We start from the raw sequence: 19147 nt of genomic DNA on the forward strand, positions 1-19147 counted from the left end.
AGGGCCTGCAGGTCTGGGCAAAGTCAGTCGCATATGGGAAATTGTTTCCTATTAATAAAATCTGAGCCCTCGGCCTGCTAAAGAGCAGAGGGGGTTATAATGCCCAGCTCGCCCAAACGTCTGCCTTCCTCCTCCCCTGGCCTTGGTGCCCGGGGTCATCTCAGGTTTCCTGTGGTTTTTTGTTGGTTTTTTTTTTGGTGCATACGTATTCTTTTAGCACTTGATAGCATTACCACCTTGCATAAGCTTAAGTGCACGCACATCATTTTCTCTTCTTGAATCTTCAGAACAAGCCTGAAGGCAGGACAGGCAGGTTCTGCGTAGCCCATTTGCAACCACAGAAATTGCAGCCTAGAGAAACGAAGGAGGAGTTAGGACTGCATCTCAGTTACCTAGGCCTCTGCTCTTGTTGGCTTCCCACTCCTCCTGGAAACCGAGCTTCAGGGGTAACAGGGGAGCCCCAAGACCCGTCCTATTGCTAAGAGTTCACATCCAGGATAAATCCACCAGGCTCCCGATGGTGCCCAACACAAATGAGACCACCCTGAGGCCAACCCCCTGAGAGCTGCCGAGGAGGGGTCACCAGCCCCTCGGTGCGGCACCTGAGTAACTTGTCCACTGCCTGAATCCCACACTTTCTTCTGTGGGAGGGAAGTGGCAAGTCCAGACCTCCTTGGTAGGTACAGGAGTGTGAGCTGCAGCCTGGCAGCTTCCCTGGCATCAGATCGGCTGATTTCCAGGCTTGTGGCCCAGCCTCCTGCTGCCAGGTGTGACGAGCGCATTGGCACGGTCAGGAAGCAGCAGAGCCTGCCTCTGCTCTGGGGCTCACGGACACCAGCTCGTGCCCCCTTCACACATCTGCAGATGGGGAGACCAAGGCCCAGAGTGGGCAGGGGTGCACCCTGAGCTAATGCAGAACAATGTCTTCTCATTCCTATGCCTGTGCTTCTCCCAGCCCGCCTCGCAGTGTTGGGGAAGACCACACTCGTACACACACACACACACCCCTACCACCCCACCCACCCTCCCAGACACACACACATTACACACTCCCCCATACACACACACCCACACTCCCCTCACATCCACACTCCCCTCACACACACACATTACACACTACATACACTCCTACTCTCCCCTCACACACCCACACTCCCCTCACACACTCCCCCCACACACAGACCCACACACCACTACCCTCACATACGTCCACACTCCACACACACACACACACACCCCTACCACCCCACCCACCCTCCCAGACACACACACATTACACACTCCACCATACACACAGACCCACACACCCACACTCCCCTCACATACATCCACACTTCCCTCACACACACATTACATACTACATACACTCCTACACACACTCCCCTCACACACACTCCCCTCACACACACCCACACACACAGACCCACATACCACACTACCCTCACATACATCCACACTCCCCTCACACACACACATTACACACTCCCCCCACACACAGACCCACACAGCCACACTCTCCTTACATACATCCACACTCCCCTCACACATACATTACACACTCCCCTCACACACACAGACCCACACACCCACACTCCCCTCACATAATCCACACTCCCCTAACACACACGCATTACACACTCCCCTCACGTACATCCACACTCCCCTCACACACACTACACACACATTACATACACTCCCCCCACACACTCCCCTCACATACATTCACACTCCCCTCATACACACACATTACACACTCCCCCACACAGACCCACACACCCACACTCCCCTCACATACATCCACACTCCCCTCACACACACCACACACACATTACATACACTCCCCCACACACACAGACCCACACACCCACACTCCCCTCACATACATCCACACTCCCCTCACACACACACACACTCCCCCCCACACACAGACCCACACACCCCTCACATACATCCACGCTCCCTTAACACACACACACTACATACACTCCCCCTACATACACTCCCCTCACACACCCACAGTCCCCTCACATACATCCACACTCCCCTCACACATACACACATTACACACACTCCCCTCACACACATCCACACTCCCCTCACACACATCACATACATCCACACTCCCCTCACACACACGCATTACACACTCCCTTCACGTACATCCACACTCCCCTCACACACACCACACACACACATTACATACACTCCCCCCACACACACTCCCCTCACATACATCCACACTCCCCTCAAACACACCACACACAATTACACACTCCCCTCACACACATCCACACTCCCCTCACACACACACATTACACACTCCCCCACACAGACCCACACACCCACACTCCCCTCACATACATCCACACTCCCCTCACACACACCACACACACATTACATACACTCCCCCCACACACAGACCCACACACCCACACTCCCCTCACATACATCCACACTCCCCTCACACACACAATTACACACTCCCCCACACACACAGACCCACACACCCCTCACATACATCCACGCTCCCTTAACACACACACACTACATACACTCCCCCTACATACACTCCCCTCACACACCCACAGTCCCCTCACATACATCCACACTCCCCTCACACATACACACATTACACACACTGCGCTCACACATATCCACACTCCCCTCACACACACCACACACATTACATACACTCTCCCTACACACACTCCCCTCACACACACCACACACATATTACACACACTTTCCTCACATACACACTCCCCTTACACACTACACACACACACTTCCCCTACACACACCCCCACACTACACACACTCCCCTCACATATACATACACTACACACTCCCCTCAGGCACACACACTACACACCACCCACACTCCCACACACACTACACACCACCCACACTCCCACACACACACCTATCACCCACACTCCCTCCCACACACACACCACACACTCCCTTCACACACTACACACTCCCCTCACACATTCCACACACACACCCCACACATTACACACACTCGCCTCATGCACACACCCCACACACTACACATAGTCCCCTCATACACTACACACCACACTCCTTGACACACACACACTCTCCCTACACACACATCCACACACCCATACCCCTCAGCACACACACACGCCCCCATACACCTACATACACCACACACATTCATTCACCACACATACACACTCACCCCACACCCCATACATACATACACACACACACACACACAAGCTGTAAAGCAGTGGGACTTTCACATGTGAGATGCCCACATAAGTGCCCCTGAGAGGCAGCTGCATCTCAACACCGCGGACCCTAATGACCTGGCTCCCTCCCCTGCGTGCCCCTCCAGAGGAAGCCTGGACCTTGTCACGCACACACTCCACCACCGCGTGATTGTGGCTAAACTCCTTGGCTTGGCATTCCAGGCCCTTCCTGGCACAGCCCAAGCCTCCCATCCCGGCAGAGCCCAGGCCTCCCTTCCATTCACCTGCTCAGCACTCCATGGGCATCTCTGTGCGCCGTGTAGTTACTGGGCACAGAGCGGGAGTCGCATGCAATCCCTCCCCACAAAGAGCCCACGAGCTAGTGAGGGAGGCAGACCCGTACGCAGGCACTCATCGCACACCCGGCGGGCACCCGATGGCAAGGGGGGCCCACCACCCAAGGGGAGTGCTGCCGCCGAGGGCTTCAGATGGTGCCTGGCCTTGTTTCACTTAATCCCCGTGGCCACCCTATGGGGAGGGACCGGGAGCAGGCTTGTGAGAATGCCTGAGCCCCCGCGTGGGGAATGAGGTGGGGAGGGTGCGCCACACCGAGAGGTGACAGTGCTCGTAGCTGCCGTGCCCATGACGGGGCTGGAGAAGGGCTCTGAGCAGAGGACAACCCATGACTTCCAGCCTCCCCGGCCCCTCCTCTGCAACAGACCTGCCCCTCCTCAACATGCCAGGCCTGGCCCAGCCCTTCTCTTCTGTGGGGCACCTAGGAAGGAGAGAGGTGCCACTTCTCTCTTCCCTCCACACCAGAGCATAGTCCAGCCCACCCCAGCCCTTTCCAGCTCCTCCCCAAAGCACATGCTTCATCTTGTCTGTTCCAATTTTTGCAGATGCTGGTCCGCTCTGGAACACTTGCTGGGCCAGGACTTATTTCTGGATCAGGGCTGGAGGGGGCCGGAAGGGCGAGTGTACCATGTGGCTGGCCTCCTCTCGACCCCCATTCCTGGGTCCCATCTGTCTTTGCCCTGTCTTTTGGTCCCTTGGTCCTCACATTTGTCTTTCTTTCTCTACGTATCTCTGTCTTCACTCTCTGGTTGACTTTGTGCAGCTGTGGAAGGTGAGGCTCTGCCTTTCACCAGCTTGATGGTCTTGGATGAGCCATTTAGGCCCAGTTGCCGTTCTCCCACCTGGGAAATGGGGCCGATAGCACCTGCCTTGCAGGGTGCCCAGGAAGATTAAGTTATAAATAATACATTGAGGCTCCTGGCCCACAATAAATGGTAGCTGTTGACGTGTTCTCTCTTTCTGTCCCTCTTCCCCCCGCCCACTTTCCTTCTCCCCTCTCTGTCTGCCCCCTTCTTCTGCTGAGGAGTTGAAAACACTCTGCCCATTCCCCCCGCCCCGCCTTCAGTCCACCCCCATTTTCTTTCTTCTCTCTGTCTCTCTGCTTAAGTGAATCAGAACACAGAACTGGTTTGTTCTTTGTTAAATCTATCAAATGCCTTTACGTTTCCCTGTTGTTAATTTTCAAAGCCTGGGAGCGAAGTGTTTTCTGTCTTGCGTCTGCGGTGAAGTGTTCCTCGGGCAACCCGTCTTCCTCCTGGGACGGCCCTGGGTGGAGAGACCTCTGGTTCAGCCACAGCCTGTGAGGCCCTGCTCCTTGGCTGGCCCACTGTCCAGCAGGCAGAGGCCACCAGGGCAGAGAGGGGGTGTTCCAACTCAATTCTTCTCTTTCCCGCTCCTTTGAACTCCATTTATCTCAATTTGCTAAATTTAAACTCTGTTTTTCCAGAGTGGCTCTACTTGAGGGCTTGGCCAGCTAAATTAAGGTTTTTCTTCCTCTTTCCCGTGGCCTTTTATGAAGCTACCCAGCATTAATTATCATGTTTGTCACTGGGTAATAAAAATCTCTGAACTCCCTGCCACCAGATTATCTTTGTAAAGAAATGCAACTCACTTACAGTTAATAACCAGAGGCCCTGCCGTCCCCAGCCTGCTAAGGCGAGGTGATTTATAGCACCCGCCGGATGAGCCCGTGCACTTTTGTGCAGGATGAGCGCTCTCTAGACAGCCCTGGTTTCCTCCAAGTCGCAGGCTGTGTCTGCCTCGCAGTACCCATTCCAGGTTCGGTGGCTGCTGGCGAGATGCCCGCTTCCTACCCGTACAGGCACCGGGCCCCTGAGGTCAGGCGGGTGTGCGAGGCCCTGCCCCGTGAGAGCCGGCGGCAGATGGAGATAATGTTCTTGTCCTCTTTCCCTTCACAGACCATGTCTCAGTTGGAGGACTCGGGGACAGTTTTTATGAATATTTGATCAAATCCTGGTTGATGTCGGGCAAGACAGATATGGAGGCTAAAAATATGTACTACGAAGCCTTGGAGGTAAGACAAGCCCTGGATTATTCACAGGCCGCTGGTCACCAGCCCCCGGCTCTCTCACGGCCGAGCGAGGGTGCTGCGGGCAGCGGGGCCAGATGGGCCGAGACTTGCTCCCACCCCCTGCAATGAACCGGTGAGAAGATTGACAGGACAGTCCCCTCCCAGCCAGGCATTTTACACCCTGCGACCCTCCCACATGCTCTAAGACTGGGGCTTTGTTAGATGTGAAACCTAAGCTCTGGGAGGTGAAGTCATTTATCCAAGGTCTCACGGGAAGTGACCGTCAGTCTGATTCAGAAACCACCACCTGCTTGGTGTCTATGCTTTGGCTGATGTATCAGAGCCCAGAGTGCAGCTAGACTGTGGGCTGGCACCCCCAAGGGTGGCTGCCAGAGTGAGACCCTCAGCTGTGTCTTCCTTGGACAGTAGAGGTGACATGAGAAGTATGTCCAAGCTGGAAGAGGCCTCCTTCAGTGGAGCATCCAGTTTTGCTCCTTCTCTTTGTGTGGATGGAAACCAAGGCCTAGAGAGGGGAAGGCACTTGCCCAAGGCCACACAGCACAGAGCTGGCCAAGCTGGCACCACTGCTGGTCTGTCCGCGGGGTGTGGAATGAACGAGGGCTGGAAGGCTGAGGTGAGTCCTTCCAAAGAGGAGAGACGAGGACGAAAGAGGGAATCAGTTAGCCTGAGCCATTGGGAAGAGGGCTAAGGAATCCCACCACTCAACAGATACTTTGGAGCCCAACTAAGGAAAAGGCACTGGGCCTGTTCTGGGCCTCAGTTTCCCCATAAAGCAAGTTGAGCAAGTCGGATCTACTCTGCCACCACCTTGGTCTACACTACCTCCTTATTTTCTCTAAACTGGCTTCCCCTCTGCCCTGCCCTCTGAATGCTGTGTGGGGAACAGAAGCCAGAAGAGCTGGACACGCACATCCCTCTCCTCTCTGGCTTCCCTTAGCACCTGGAATAAATCCAACTCCTCTCCTTTACCCATCGGGTCCGCCTTCCCTGGGCCCTGCTGATCACCCTGACTTCACGCCTGCCTCTCTGCTCTGTGCTCTCTGGGCCCTGGGCACCAGTCTTCCTGCTCTTCCTCAGACACCCCAGGCGACTCCCACCTCAGGGCCTTTGCACTTGCTGTCCCCTCTGCCTGGAATATCATTCCAATGGCTGGGTCCCTTTCACTAGTCAACTCTCAATTCAAATGCCACTGAAACTACCATTCCCAGCCTGTCACATACTCAGGCTTATTCTCTTCACCTTCATCAGCCTCTAAAATTATCACAGGCACATATTTGTTTACTTGCTCATTCTCTATCTTCCCCAAATAGAATATCAGTTATCTGGGATCAGAGATCTTGTCTGCTCCTAAAACAGTGCCTGGCACATAGCAGGCCCATGGTAACTGTTTTGTGAATGAATGAATGCATGGGTGCATGAATGCTGAAAGGATGAATGGAGGGAAGGATGGATGGAGGGAAGGATGGATGGGTGAGTAGATAGATGGGTGGGTGGGTGTGGGCAGTTGGATGGATGGATAGATGGTCTGTGACTACCCTCTGATCACAGGAATCTGGCCAGGAATGGTGGTGCTTAAAAGACACACATTGAAACGGACTGCTAGAGCCATGGACCCTTTAAACTGTAGGCTCAGTAATGATTTTTCCCTGCTCAGCTCCCTGGCACAAGACCTCAGTCATGAAGCAGCTTCTGGGACTGCAGTCCCATCTCAGTCTGGGTCCCAGTCTTGTTCACTCCTGTCTTTGGCTGAGCTCAGACCAGAGCCCCGGTCAGAGAATTAGTGTGCAGCTGGTGGTGGCCGGAGTGTGCTGCCCAGAGGCCCTTTCTGCCTTCCCTTGCAGAGTAAACATAAAGTTAATGAGCAGCCAGGCTCCCTGCCCTCAGGGCACACAGTAGTTGAGCCATCAAGGGAAGAAATGGCCATGAATTATTTAAGGAAACTCAGAGCACTTGATTTTGTAGGAGAGAACTTTGAATAGAAGAGGCTTTGCTCTCTGCATTTGATCTTCCCAGTGAAGAGCCTGGAGCATCTTTGACCCTGGGTGAAGGCTGGGCCTCTGGCAAGTTTGGGGTTTTGAAGAATTTTCTGGTGGTTCTCAACCTTGTTGCCATGTTAAAATCACCTAGGGAGCTGCAAAGTCCTGATGTTCAGACTGCACCCCTGACTCAGAACCTCTGGGCACTGGGCCCGGGCCACACATAAACCTCCTTGGGATTTCGTGTATAGTCAGGGTTGGGAACCACCCACCAAAGACCTTCACCCCTGCCTGCACCTTAGGATCACCTGGAGAGCTTTAAAAATCCCATGTCTAGCCTCACCCCAGGCCAATAAATCCCAATCTGAGATTTTTAAAAAGTTCCTTCCACAATTCTGTTGTGCACCTGGGGTCAGAAAACCACCAGGTTAGACCAGTGTCCAGCTGGGATGGACCGGGGAGGGTCAGACAGATCGGACTGGGCACACCCCTGAGTGTCACGGCAGGAGACAAAGAAGAAGAACAGGAAGAGCTTTGGTCACTTTGGCCTCCTCTGAGCTAGTGCTCTAAGTACCTCATCTTATTTAGCCCCCATCTTACAGATGACGAAACTGAGGGTCAGAAAGGCCCAAGGTCCATATAGCAACAAGTGTCAGAGCCAGGACACAAACACGGGTCTGACTCCAGATCCATTGGGCTGGCCTCTACTTACCAGCAGCCAAATCACAGAGGGGCCTGGCTTGCCTGAAACCCCTCCCGCGAGTGCTCAGATGGGGCTCCTGCAGGCGGCAAAGGAAGGAACAGCCAGCGCCAGGCACTGAGCCAGGCTTCGAATATCCTCTCCTTTAATCCTCACAACCAACCCAGGAATCATTACTCCCATTTTATAGATGAGCAAAGTGAGTCTTCATTAAAGTGAAATAACTTGCCCAAGGTCATCTAGCTCCTAAATCGCAGAGCTGAGATTCAAACCCAGGCCTCTCGCCACGCTGGGCTCACTGCCTATGGGTTAGCCCTGCTCCACAAGGAACAGCACAAATATTTTTGTTAATACATTAAAAAAAAAAAACCCTGGTCTTGTGCCCCACTTAGCTCCTTGCACCGCTGCTTGCTGTGATTTAAACCTTTTACCAGTCGTCTGCCAGCCTGCACTGTCTTGTGTTTTGTTTTAGAAAGCCTTGTTTTTTATCTTTGCATCTGCGTGTCTCAGTTGTGTCTTCAAAGAGGCAGTGGTTTATAATTTCCTCTTGACTGCAATTACTTAGCTTGGGGCCAACCCCCAGTGGAAATAATGTGTGGGAGGCGGTCTGGAAGGTGCAGGTGCCAGGTCTGGTGCGCAGCATCCTGAGGTCTCCCTCAGATGTCTGTGTTCTCTCCAAAGTGTTGACAACTGGTGACTCGGACCCAGGTTTCTGAGCCCTGACACTCCTCCCCTGCACCGCAGGCTTAGTGACGCCGAGCAGCTGCCAGGGACATGGCTCTGCCCGGGAGCCAGGCCGGGCCCAGAGCAGACCCCTGCCTGCAGCCCGGCTGCTCTGCAGGTGTCCTCAGCACTCCCCCATGTGGAGCAGGTGCCCTGGCATGTCACATTGTCAGCGCTTTTCCATCTGCCACTCAGTGTGGGTCCTGCAGCCAGCCCACCAGCCCTGGGCCCTGACAGGAGAGAAAAAAGGAAAAAACAGACCCAGGAGTGAGCGAGTGTTCCTTGAGCATCTTCTGTGTGTCGGGCACTGGCTGGAGGCTGCTGCTGGTGGCTTCTGCTGTCACACGGCACTCAGAGTCTGAGAGAGAGACAGATATACAACAGAAACAGATGCCAAGTAGGAATGGCACCATGTAGAAGGGTGACAGGGGCCCATAGGTAATGGCAGTGGCAGTGCTGGTTTAAATTGGGGCATTCTCTCCAAGGAAGTGACATTCTGGAGGAGGTGGGGTTAGCAGAGTCAGGGCTGGAGCATGCAGGAAGGAGGCGCAGCACCAGCTAAGCCCCGAAGCAGGAAGAAAAATGCAGCTTTCAAGAATGTCACCTTTGCAGAGAGATTTTCCCTGACCTCCCTCTGCAAAGTACAGCACTGCCCCCACCCCAGTTTTTTTTGTTTTGTTTTGTTTTCTTGGGTTTTTTGTTTGTTTGTTTTTTTATGACAGAGTCTCACTCTATTGCCCAGAGTGGAGTGCAGTGGTGCAATCTTGGCTCACCGCAACTTCTGCCTCCTGGATTCAAGTGATTCTCCCACCTCAGCCTCCCAAGTAGCTGGGACTACAGGTATGCACTACCGTGCCTGGCTAATTCTTATATTTTTAGTAGAGATGGGTTTTTGCCATGTTGCCCAGGCTGGTTTCAAACTACTGGGCTCAAATGATCCATCTGCCTCAGCCTCCCAAAGTGCTGGGATTACAGGCGTGAGCCACTGCGTCCAGCCCCTCCCCGCATACCCCTGCATTTTTTAATCTCATCCTCTCACTTTGTTTTATTCAAAATGCTGATCACAAATTGTACCTCTCAGCCAGTTGTGGTGGCTCACGCCTGTAATCCCAACATTTTGGGAGGCCGAGGTGGGTGGATCCCCTGAGGTCAGGAGTTCAAGACCAGCCTGGCCAACATGGTGAAACCCCATCTCTACTAAAAATACAAAAATTAGCCGGGGGTGGTGGCACACGCCTATAATTACCCAGCTACTTGGGAGGCTGAGGCACGAGAATGGTTTAAACTTGGGAGGCGGAGGTTGCAGTGAGCCAAGATCATGCCACTGCACTTCAGCCTGGGTGACAGAGTAAGACTGTGTCTCAAAACAAAACGAATTGCACCTCTCATATATATTTGGTTTTGTTGGGAATTCTCTGCACTAATGGGTGAGCTCCCTGAGGCAGAGTCCAGGCTCCTCTCCAGCACACCTGTAGCCCCAGTACCTAGCACAGCGCTGACACCAAGGAAATATTACATGGCTGCCGAGATATTGTAAGCCAGGAGGGTACCTGAGTGAAAAAAGGCCAGTGTAGGTGAGGTAGGGTGTGAGGAGGGAGGGGCAGGAGACAGACTAGAGTGGAATCATAGGGGTCAGTAATTAGTGGGGACTCGCTCTGTGCTGGGAAATAGGCCAAGTCCTGCAGGCATATCTCATTTAATTCTCACAACCCTATGAGGCAGTTAATGCTCTTATCCCCAGTTTACACGTTAGGAAACTGAGGCACAGAGAGAACATACAACCTGCCCAGTGTCACACAGCGTGGAACTGGTGGAGATGAAATTTGAACCTGATGAGTCTGTGCCCCAGAGCCATGTCCATAGAATCAGGTCCACCCTCAAGGTCCAGATCGTGGAGTCTTGGAGGCCCCTCTGGTGTTTTCACATAAGGGCACTTGGAAACCACTGAAGGTTCTAAGCAGGCAGATGATATGATCCGGTTTGTTAATTGCAGAGTACAGAGACCCCCTGGAGAGTAGATTGGAGGGGTGAAAGTGGAGGCAGAGGCCTGGAAGGGCCCCAGAGGACCCCAGCCATGGGCCAGGCCCCACCAGCCCATGGAGTCTGGCCTCGAGACTGTGTGAGCAGCTTCCTCCCTCCCCTTGGTCCCCAGGGCTCCTGGGGTGAGAGCAGTCTGACCCCCTCACGCCCCCGACATCCCAGAGTCTTTACAACAGCATCACCTCCCTTCCCACCAAAAGGCATGGCCATCAGGTAGTGGAAGAAGCAGAGCTCTGGACATTGTGGGGTCTTGTTTCTAGGCTGGTGTGGCTGGGTGGCCTGGGACAAGCTGCCACACCTCCCATTTGTCTGTGTAGGGCGCGGCAGCCCAGGTGCCTGGCTTGCTGTAGGCATTAAATGAGGAAACGTGTGACAAGATACTCCTAGAGAACAGCTCTTAATTTTCTGCAGGTTCTTTTTGAGAAACTGGTAAGAATAGATGGACACTCTTCCCATAAAGATGCACATCCACCAGAAAGTGTTGGGTACAGTTTTAAGGGCCTGGACCCCTGAAGCCCATCCACAGGCCAGCTGGGCTTCTGGTTAAGATCAAACAGAGGACATAATGGAGGAGGAGGATCACCTTAAAATATTTTTTAACGTTTTTTAAAACATGGAAGATTTTAAAGGCTGTGTAAGAGACTTGCCCTGGGGAGCTGCCCTGTGTCTGAGCCTCCCAGCGAATAGCAGCCCCTCCTGTGCCCTGGCAGGCATCTTGACCAGCAGAGATCAATGGGCCTCCTTTGCCTGGGATGGAGGGCTTGGCAGAGCTGCCCTTGCTACTGTCTCCAAAATGTTCATTTTCCATCCTTTCCCCCCCTTCTCTGTGCCCTCCCACGCCCCTTCTCCCTGCCCAATCCCCACCTTGCTCCCAGGCGATAGAGACCTACTTGCTGAATGTCTCTCCCGGGGGGCTGACCTACATTGCCGAGTGGCGAGGGGGGATTCTGGACCACAAGATGGGGCACCTGGCCTGTTTCTCCGGGGGCATGATCGCCCTTGGCGCCGAGGATGCCAAGGAAGAAAAGAGGGCCCACTACCGAGAGCTCGCAGCCCAGATCACCAAGACGTGTCACGAGTCATACGCCCGCTCAGGTAACCCTGCAAGGGGAAGGGGCAGCAGGAGAGACTGAGGCTAGACACCAGGAAGAACTGGAAAGACCGGCAGCAGTGAGCGAAGGGAGCACATGGCCTTAGGGAAGCCTCCCCTTGGAAGTTAAGTAGAATTTGAGAGAGGTACTCTCCAGGCTCCGAGACCATACCCTGAATGAAAGGGAAACTAGTACAGACACAGGAAGCGCTTTGCATGTACCTGGTACTCTTCCGCACTTGACACAACATCACTGAACCTCACCACACAGATGAGGAAACTGAGGCTCAGAGATTACTTGGCCAAGGTCCCTTGAGAGGGGCACAGAGTAAAGGATCCTCCAGCCCCGGAGGCAGAAACGGCGGCTTCCTGAGCCCGGCACATGTCCCACCCTGAGTCTCCTACTTTCAAATGTGCCTCTGCCTTTCCCCCGGCACCCTCCTTAGAGGGGGTTTCACCGCCTCCTGCTCCCACCTGTTTAGTCGCCCTCTTTGACCCATGATCACCGGAAAGCCTGAGAGCTTGGTCCTCCCCACCCACCACTCACCACTGAATTGTCCGATGCTAGAATCAGAGGTCACATTTGAGAGCCTGAGCCTGGCTCCTCATTCTACACAGAGAAGTGGAGTCAGCCCAGAGAGGGGAAGTGACTTAGCCAAAGTCACACTGCACATGAGGAATTGATCCTGGGCTGGAACCCAGGCCTTCTGATGCCTGGTTCCACCCCGTGCGCAAACTGCACCCCTCAGAAAAATCCCCAGCCCCCGTGTGGTCCCAGGAGACGCCCACCGCTCTGAGTGGTAATCCCAGTGTTGGTTGGAGGGGACGACCCAAGATTTGCAGTAAAAATCCCAGGCTCAAGCAGCGCTTGACAAAATGACTGTTTTCTGATGGCCAGGAGCCGCTACACCATTTGAAAAGATTAGAGAGGCCAGATGGGCAGCCTCTGTTTTCTTATCTGTTCGATGGGAATCATGACACAGGTCTCAGAGTGAGGCACAGGGTCCCATGAGAAAGTACCTTGGCAGCCACCTTTGGCCAGCAGCACTGCAGGCACTTGCTGACCGCCCATCATGATGTGTCTGTGCCCGCCCCAGCTGAATGGGGTCTCCTGGAGCTGTTTCCAGGAAGTCAGAGATTCGCAATGGGTCTTTAAAACTGGTTGTCCATTCTCTTCAAAGAGCTTGCTCTGCCAGGGCCATAAACAAATAAGAAATCTCAGGACTAATAAAAGGCTCGCTATTTGTCTGAGACAATCAGCCCAGACCATAAAAGACAGCCGCTTAATAAAGCATATTGTTCTAGCCAGCCTCGGCTTGTCCTGTGGACGCCTGTAGCAGTGGCTCCTGCCTTCACCCCACTAGCGACTTGGCAAAATGACTGTTTTCTGATGGCCAGGAGCCGCTACACCATTTGAAAAGGTTAGAGAGGCTAGGGTCTAGCTAATTCCTCTTCCCTGAAGCCCTCCATGGAAGAGCAGGAAGTCCTGCAAACCTCTAACCCCTGCCTCTAAAGTAAAAGCAACCTAGGGCCTCTCAGGGTTTTGAACCCTGGTAGTAGGGAAGAGGGCTCACATTAGGAATGGAGCTGGGGACTTGGGTGACCTGGACAGGAGGGACAGGCATTAAAGGGAGAAGGATCTGGCCCTCATACCCTACATGTTGGGCCTATGAGGGTTAGACCCAGGAGGGAAAGAGCACCGCCCTAGGAGAGGCATCAGACACATCCAGGGTCAAGTCCCAACTCAGCCACAACTCGCTGTGTTACCTTGGGCAAATTACTTAGCCTCTCTGATCCTCAGTTTCCACATGCGTGAGAGGGATAGTAGCAATTACCTTACTAAAGAAACATTTTTTAAGGATAGAAATAGTGTATTAAAGCACCCAGCACGGCCTTTGAAATCATAAATAGTGGCTACAGAGGTGGTTATAATTATGGCCATATGACAAGAATGACAGCAAATTGCCTCAAAACCAAACAGTGACAATGACAGAACCCAGGCTCCCTCAGGCCCTCCTTCCTCAGCTCCCTCTGTGGGAGTAGGTGCATTCCTGGGCAATCTTCCCTCCATCTCTACCTCAGCTGTTCCCAAACTCTCGAAGTTTGTTCTGGGAGGTGTTAAAAGCAGTTTTCTAAGACAAAGGGTCCCAAGGAGAAGCCTCATTTCACATTAGCATATTAAAGGATCTGATAAATCCTGCAGATGGGAGACTTATTTTGTTTAACCCTCGGTTCCCCAGATGTGTTGAAACCCGAAACCCTCTTGGCTGAGGTCTGGCTAACCTCTTGCAGAGCTATTGCCTCAAAGTACACAGTTGTGGAACCCCGCCCAAACCTTCACCTACCCAGACTGCTGAGTAGCTCATTTGGACTCTCAGAGTCCAAAGCTGCTCACATTTCCAGTCCCCGAGGGTCTTGTTCTGTCCAGCCCAGGCCAAGAGGGAAGCTGTGCATCTGCCCGGTGCAGCCTTACACAGCAGTCCAGGCAGGGGCACCCCACACCCACACACACCTGACATCACCCTGGCCGCGGGTTCAAGGCAACTGACATCTCTCCTGGATCCCGAAAAGCAGGAGGTGGGAGGTCTGACCTGGGCCCTCTGCTTGGCTGTTTCCCCAGACACCAAACTTGGGCCTGAGGCCTTCTGGTTTAACTCCGGCAGAGAGGCCGTGGCCACCCAGCTGAGCGAGAGCTACTACATCCTCCGGCCAGAGGTGGTGGAGAGCTACATGTACCTGTGGCGACAGACCCACAACCCCATCTACAGGGAGTGGGGCTGGGAGGTGGTGCTGGTGAGTGGGCCCCAGGGATGGGCAGCAAGGTGCTAGATGCCCCTGAGAATTTACAGGCTGGGTGCTAGGTGCCCTGGCTTGGGCCTGGAGTGGAAGGCCAAGCCACGTTGACCTCTGACCACAGTTCAGAGTGCAAAGGGTCAAGGTGGTGGTTACAGAGCCAAGAGTCCCCAGCTGGGCAAAGTTGTCCTGAGACAGGACAGGCCAGACTTGTGAAGAGGGTTCTGAGTGCCCATATCCTTGGGGCCTGGGACCAGGCCTCAGCAAACTTAGAGGGTCAGAGGCTAGGCAGCTGCCTAGAGCACCACGCAGGCACCACGCGGCCACCGCTGTCCCAACAGACGCTTTCCTGATCTCGAAGCTGGGCAGCTCACCTCCACCTCCCTCCTCTTCCCACAGGCAGCCCAGCCTGAGGGACCCCCCCACCCTAGTCTCTACTGGCCCTTGAGGCCTACCCTGCCCTCAGCCTCCGGCCCCACACCTAGGTGGAAATTTAATGGCTGTCTTGGGGGAGGTGTCAAAGGCAGGTGTGGGGATTCCAGCAGGTTCCCTGGTGGATGCTGAGCCTTCTCTGCCCCTATCTCCCCCACCACCCCCGTGCCCATTCCGAGCATTGCACTCAGACGGGGTCCAGGGCATGCTCAGGTTTACTGGCCCTGTTAAGTCCACCTGCTTCCCCAGGACCATTGTTCTTGGCCTTCAAAGGCCAAGCGTCTTGTGCTCCTATGCCCAGTCCATAGACCCCCTCCGTGGGTAGAAATTGTATTTATCAGCCTATAGGCAACACGGCAAAACCCCATCTATACAGAAAAATACAAAAATTATCCAGGCATGGTGACGCACGCCTATAGTCCCAGCTGCTTGAGGGGCTGAGGCAAGAGGATTGCTCGAACTGCAGAGGTTGAAGCTGCAGAGTGAGCTCTGATCGCCCCACTGCCCTCCAGCCTGGGCGACAAAATGAGACCTTGTCTCAAGAAAAAAAAATGCATTTATATAGAAAGATGAATGGCTTGGCTCACTTGCCTCCAGCCCAGGGGCCATCTCTCCTGAGAATCCCTGGAGTACCAAGTCCGTCCCCAAATCCCAGCCCATGGCCATCACCCGTGGCTTCTCTTCACCTCTGCCTACCACTGTGGGTGAATCTGTAAGACCAGCCTAGTCCCCTGAAACACAAAGAGAAGCTTCCTCTAAGTTCAAACCAGGTGAAGAGCTCAGGACAGGCAGCCCATCGGGCCAGAGCTCTCAGAGGTGTGGGTGGAAGGAGTGTGGCCCCTCCAGCCTGGGGACAGGTGGCTAAACCCCGAAAGAATAATTTGACCTTCTGTTCCCACAAATGCCAGGAGTCCCCAGCCAAGGGGTGGGGGTGCTGTCTGCTTTCTTCTAGCTCCAGCCTGCCAGGCATGCACAAGTCTTGAGGGGCCTTTCCTGTCCCGTGTTAAGGCTGTTTTCCTCCTCCTCTTCCCCTTCCTCAGGCCTTGGAGAAATACTGTCGGACAGAAGCCGGTTTCTCTGGGATCCAAGACGTGTACAGTAGCACCCCCAACCACGACAACAAGCAGCAGAGCTTCTTTCTAGCGGAGACACTAAAGTGAGCAGTGTGGGCTCTTCCTAGGGATGGACAGGTGGGAGGTTGAGGGTAGGGGTCCGCAGTCCCTCCCCTCCACAGTCAGGTTCTGTGGTCACAGGACGGGAGCCCAAAAGGGGTGAAGGGCTTGGGATCCAGAGGGCTGCACCCCAGGTGTGAGCCTTGGGCCAGGCCGCTTTCTCGGAGAGTGAGACTGGGCTAGAATCCAAGTTCCCTAGGGACGCACCGTGTGATACCGCAGGTTCCTTCAGTTTCTCGCTTATCTCCCCAGGTTGCTTCCGTTCTGGGAACCGCGTCCTCGTGTGTAAAATGGGATAGGGTTAACGATGATGATGTCAGTGCTGGTTGCTGGCATTGACTTTCCCTCCTGTGGCCTCTGCAGTGTGGCTGCTGTGCCCTCCTCGATTTCATGCCATGGAAGTTGGCCATCCCACTTCCTCACTGTTCCCCAAAGCAAGCCCCTTGTGCTTTAACCCTTTAGGGTGGGTCAGAATGATCAGTTCCTTCCAGTGAGGAAAAAACCCACAACCTGGAAGCTGGAGTTCTAGAGTCACAACCCCATGTTCTTCTCAGTGCCCCAATGTGTACTCTGAATATAGAGTCTTAGTGGGCAGCAGCGGGGCACGTGAGAGTCAACTGGACTGCAGCAGCCCTCAGGCACCCCTGCAGAGAATCTGGACCATAAGGGCTCACATACAGGGCCGGGCAGGTGAAGCTGGCTGATGGCAGAGCCAGGGTAAACTAAGTCCTTCTGACCCCAAAGCTCAAGGCTTTTCTCTGCAGCCACAGCCTCCTTCCCCAGGACTAGCACCCCCACCCTGCTGCCCACAGTTTTGGGGTTGCAAGGCTCCAGACCTTGACCATAGGCCTATCACAAAGGCCCTGAGACTTGTTCCCAGGCCCACCCTTCTTCCCCAGGCCACTGACAGACTGTGTCTTGCTTCCCTGCCCTGCGTGGGGCACAGGTATCTCTATCTTCTGTTCTCTGAAGATGACTTGCTCTCCCTGGAAGACTGGGTGTTCAACACCGAGGCCCACCCACTCCCGGTGAACCACTCAGACAGCTCCGGCAGAGCCTGGGGCAGACACTGACCCCATCTCCTGCCGCCGCCCTGGGGCCGCCGCAGGGATGCCTTGCCTTTTCAGGATTTGAGACTGTTCTCAAAGGGATTGGGAACGAAGGCCCCATCTCGGGCAGACCCCCAGCAGATGTGTCGGACAAGCAACTTCTTTTCCTCTGTGAGGAGACAAGACTTGGAGACTCAGCGATGTCAGGCCAGGGCCATGGCCACACTGGCCCACACATTCCTTTCTACAGAGAATTTCTATGAAGCCCACTCACTTGCCATTCCAGGGCCAAAGGACCGGAGGTTTGCATATCCGCCCCTTGTATTTGATTTGCTTCCTTTTGGTTTCTTGGTTTTTGTTTTTGCTTGATTTTGTCTTTTCTCTACAGTTTAGTTTTGTCACAATTACACATATAGTTTTCAAAATCATGCACTTTCTAAAATGGTGTCATCCTGAAAAACAAAACCCAGTGTTTGCACACACACAAAATCTTGACCCCGTTATCTATATTTTAAATGCTTTTTGCCCAACACTGACCCTATGTTCAACTTTGTGTCATTTACCTTATAATTTGAGGAGGGGTTTCCCTTTGGGCCTCAGTGTTACAAATTACTAGTGCTATTTTCATTATTATTGTAATGGAAAAATCTGTGGACTAGAATAAAAGAGTTTATTGAATAAGAAATATGATTGGGCTCATTGCACATCAGTGACTCCTAGAAAAACCATTGCAATGTTACCATCAGAAATAATAATCAGCCAGCAGTTGATTTAAGGTATAATTTAGTAAACGATTCCAACTTCTATTACCTCCCCTGAAATCGGTCCTGATATATTCGAGAAGCATGAGGCCAGCCCTTCAGATGCAGTTGTTTATTTATACTCAGGTTTAGATTGGGAAGAGGCCCAGGGAGGAGCAGCAACTTGCCTGAGGTCACACAGCCCAAAAAAGGCAAAGGAGAGTCTCGCCCCTGCCGTCTCCTGGCCACCCCAGTTGAGTGTCCGTCTGTTCCATCATTCAGCAGATGCTTGGTGAGTGCCTGCAACGGACCAGACACTGGGCTAGAGGCCAGGGACACCGCTGAGAGTGAGACAGTCATAAGCCCTGCAGTCAAGGGGTCAAGAGGGGAGAAAGCGATGGTAAGGGAAACTGACAAGTAAGTGAAGTGACTGCAGGTCATAGGAAATGCTACAAAGGAGATAGATAGACAGCTGAGGACCTACCCTACGGGGTCAGGGAGGGCCTCTCTGGGCAGGTGACCTTCAAGCCAAGACCCAGAAGATAAAAAGGAGCAGCCGAAAGACTATCTGGCAGAAGAATGAACTTCCCATAACCCAGCCCCCTTTCCCACCCTCCCTGATGCCCTCCCTGGGAGGGGGCCTGAAACACTGGGGCTGTTGTGCAGAGCAAGGAGCTCAGGTCCTAACACTGAAGTGACAGCTCTTCCTCCCCTGACCCTTTTTTTTTTTTGAGACCCAGAGTCTCGTTCAGTCGCCCAGGCTGGAGTGCAGTGGTGCAATCTTGGCTCACTGCAACCTCCACC

General features: G+C 53.6%; 1 protein-coding gene across 6 annotated transcripts in view, besides 6 other annotated features; it reads left to right on the forward strand.

Annotated features, from left to right (window-relative positions):
* Window positions 1-18288, forward strand: part of MAN1C1 (mannosidase alpha class 1C member 1) — a 167660-nt gene extending 149372 nt beyond the window's left edge. For 5 of the 6 annotated variants that reach the window (NM_001385182.1, NM_001385183.1, NM_020379.4 and 2 more), the window contains 5 exons: window positions 5495-5610; window positions 11943-12162; window positions 14778-14950; window positions 16423-16538; window positions 17501-18288. In NM_001385182.1, the coding sequence (NP_001372111.1) occupies window positions 5495-5610; window positions 11943-12162; window positions 14778-14950; window positions 16423-16538; window positions 17501-17627 (752 nt within the window). In that variant the 3' untranslated portion in view covers window positions 17628-18288. The remainder of the gene's footprint in view (window positions 1-5494; window positions 5611-11942; window positions 12163-14777; window positions 14951-16422; window positions 16539-17500) is intronic. The other variant, NM_001289010.2, reaches the window with a different exon arrangement.
* Window positions 5674-6646: an enhancer, noted in NCBI's record as "H3K27ac-H3K4me1 hESC enhancer chr1:26098327-26099299 (GRCh37/hg19 assembly coordinates)". NCBI's record gives its function as "activates a minimal SCP1, AML or CMV promoter by ChIP-STARR-seq in primed H9 embryonic stem cells {active_cell/tissue: H9 hESC(primed)}" and the evidence as "EXISTENCE:reporter gene assay evidence [ECO:0000049][PMID:30033119]".
* Window positions 8718-8867: an enhancer, noted in NCBI's record as "active region_464". NCBI's record gives its function as "activates an Ori minimal core promoter by ATAC-STARR-seq in GM12878 lymphoblastoid cells {active_cell/tissue: GM12878}" and the evidence as "EXISTENCE:reporter gene assay evidence [ECO:0000049][PMID:35858748]".
* Window positions 9038-9207: an enhancer, noted in NCBI's record as "active region_465". NCBI's record gives its function as "activates an Ori minimal core promoter by ATAC-STARR-seq in GM12878 lymphoblastoid cells {active_cell/tissue: GM12878}" and the evidence as "EXISTENCE:reporter gene assay evidence [ECO:0000049][PMID:35858748]".
* Window positions 13810-14432: an enhancer, noted in NCBI's record as "OCT4-NANOG-H3K27ac-H3K4me1 hESC enhancer chr1:26106463-26107085 (GRCh37/hg19 assembly coordinates)". NCBI's record gives its function as "activates a minimal SCP1, AML or CMV promoter by ChIP-STARR-seq in naive H9 embryonic stem cells {active_cell/tissue: H9 hESC(naive)}" and the evidence as "EXISTENCE:reporter gene assay evidence [ECO:0000049][PMID:30033119]".
* Window positions 14433-15055: an enhancer, noted in NCBI's record as "OCT4-NANOG-H3K27ac-H3K4me1 hESC enhancer chr1:26107086-26107708 (GRCh37/hg19 assembly coordinates)". NCBI's record gives its function as "activates a minimal SCP1, AML or CMV promoter by ChIP-STARR-seq in primed H9 embryonic stem cells {active_cell/tissue: H9 hESC(primed)}" and the evidence as "EXISTENCE:reporter gene assay evidence [ECO:0000049][PMID:30033119]".
* Window positions 17560-18182: an enhancer, noted in NCBI's record as "H3K27ac-H3K4me1 hESC enhancer chr1:26110213-26110835 (GRCh37/hg19 assembly coordinates)". NCBI's record gives its function as "activates a minimal SCP1, AML or CMV promoter by ChIP-STARR-seq in naive H9 embryonic stem cells {active_cell/tissue: H9 hESC(naive)}" and the evidence as "EXISTENCE:reporter gene assay evidence [ECO:0000049][PMID:30033119]".
* Window positions 18289-19147: the final 859 nt, after the last annotated feature.

This window comes from Homo sapiens, chromosome 1 (genome assembly GCF_000001405.40).
Source record: "Homo sapiens chromosome 1, GRCh38.p14 Primary Assembly".
In the NCBI taxonomy this organism is placed as follows: Eukaryota; Metazoa; Chordata; class Mammalia; order Primates; family Hominidae; genus Homo; species Homo sapiens.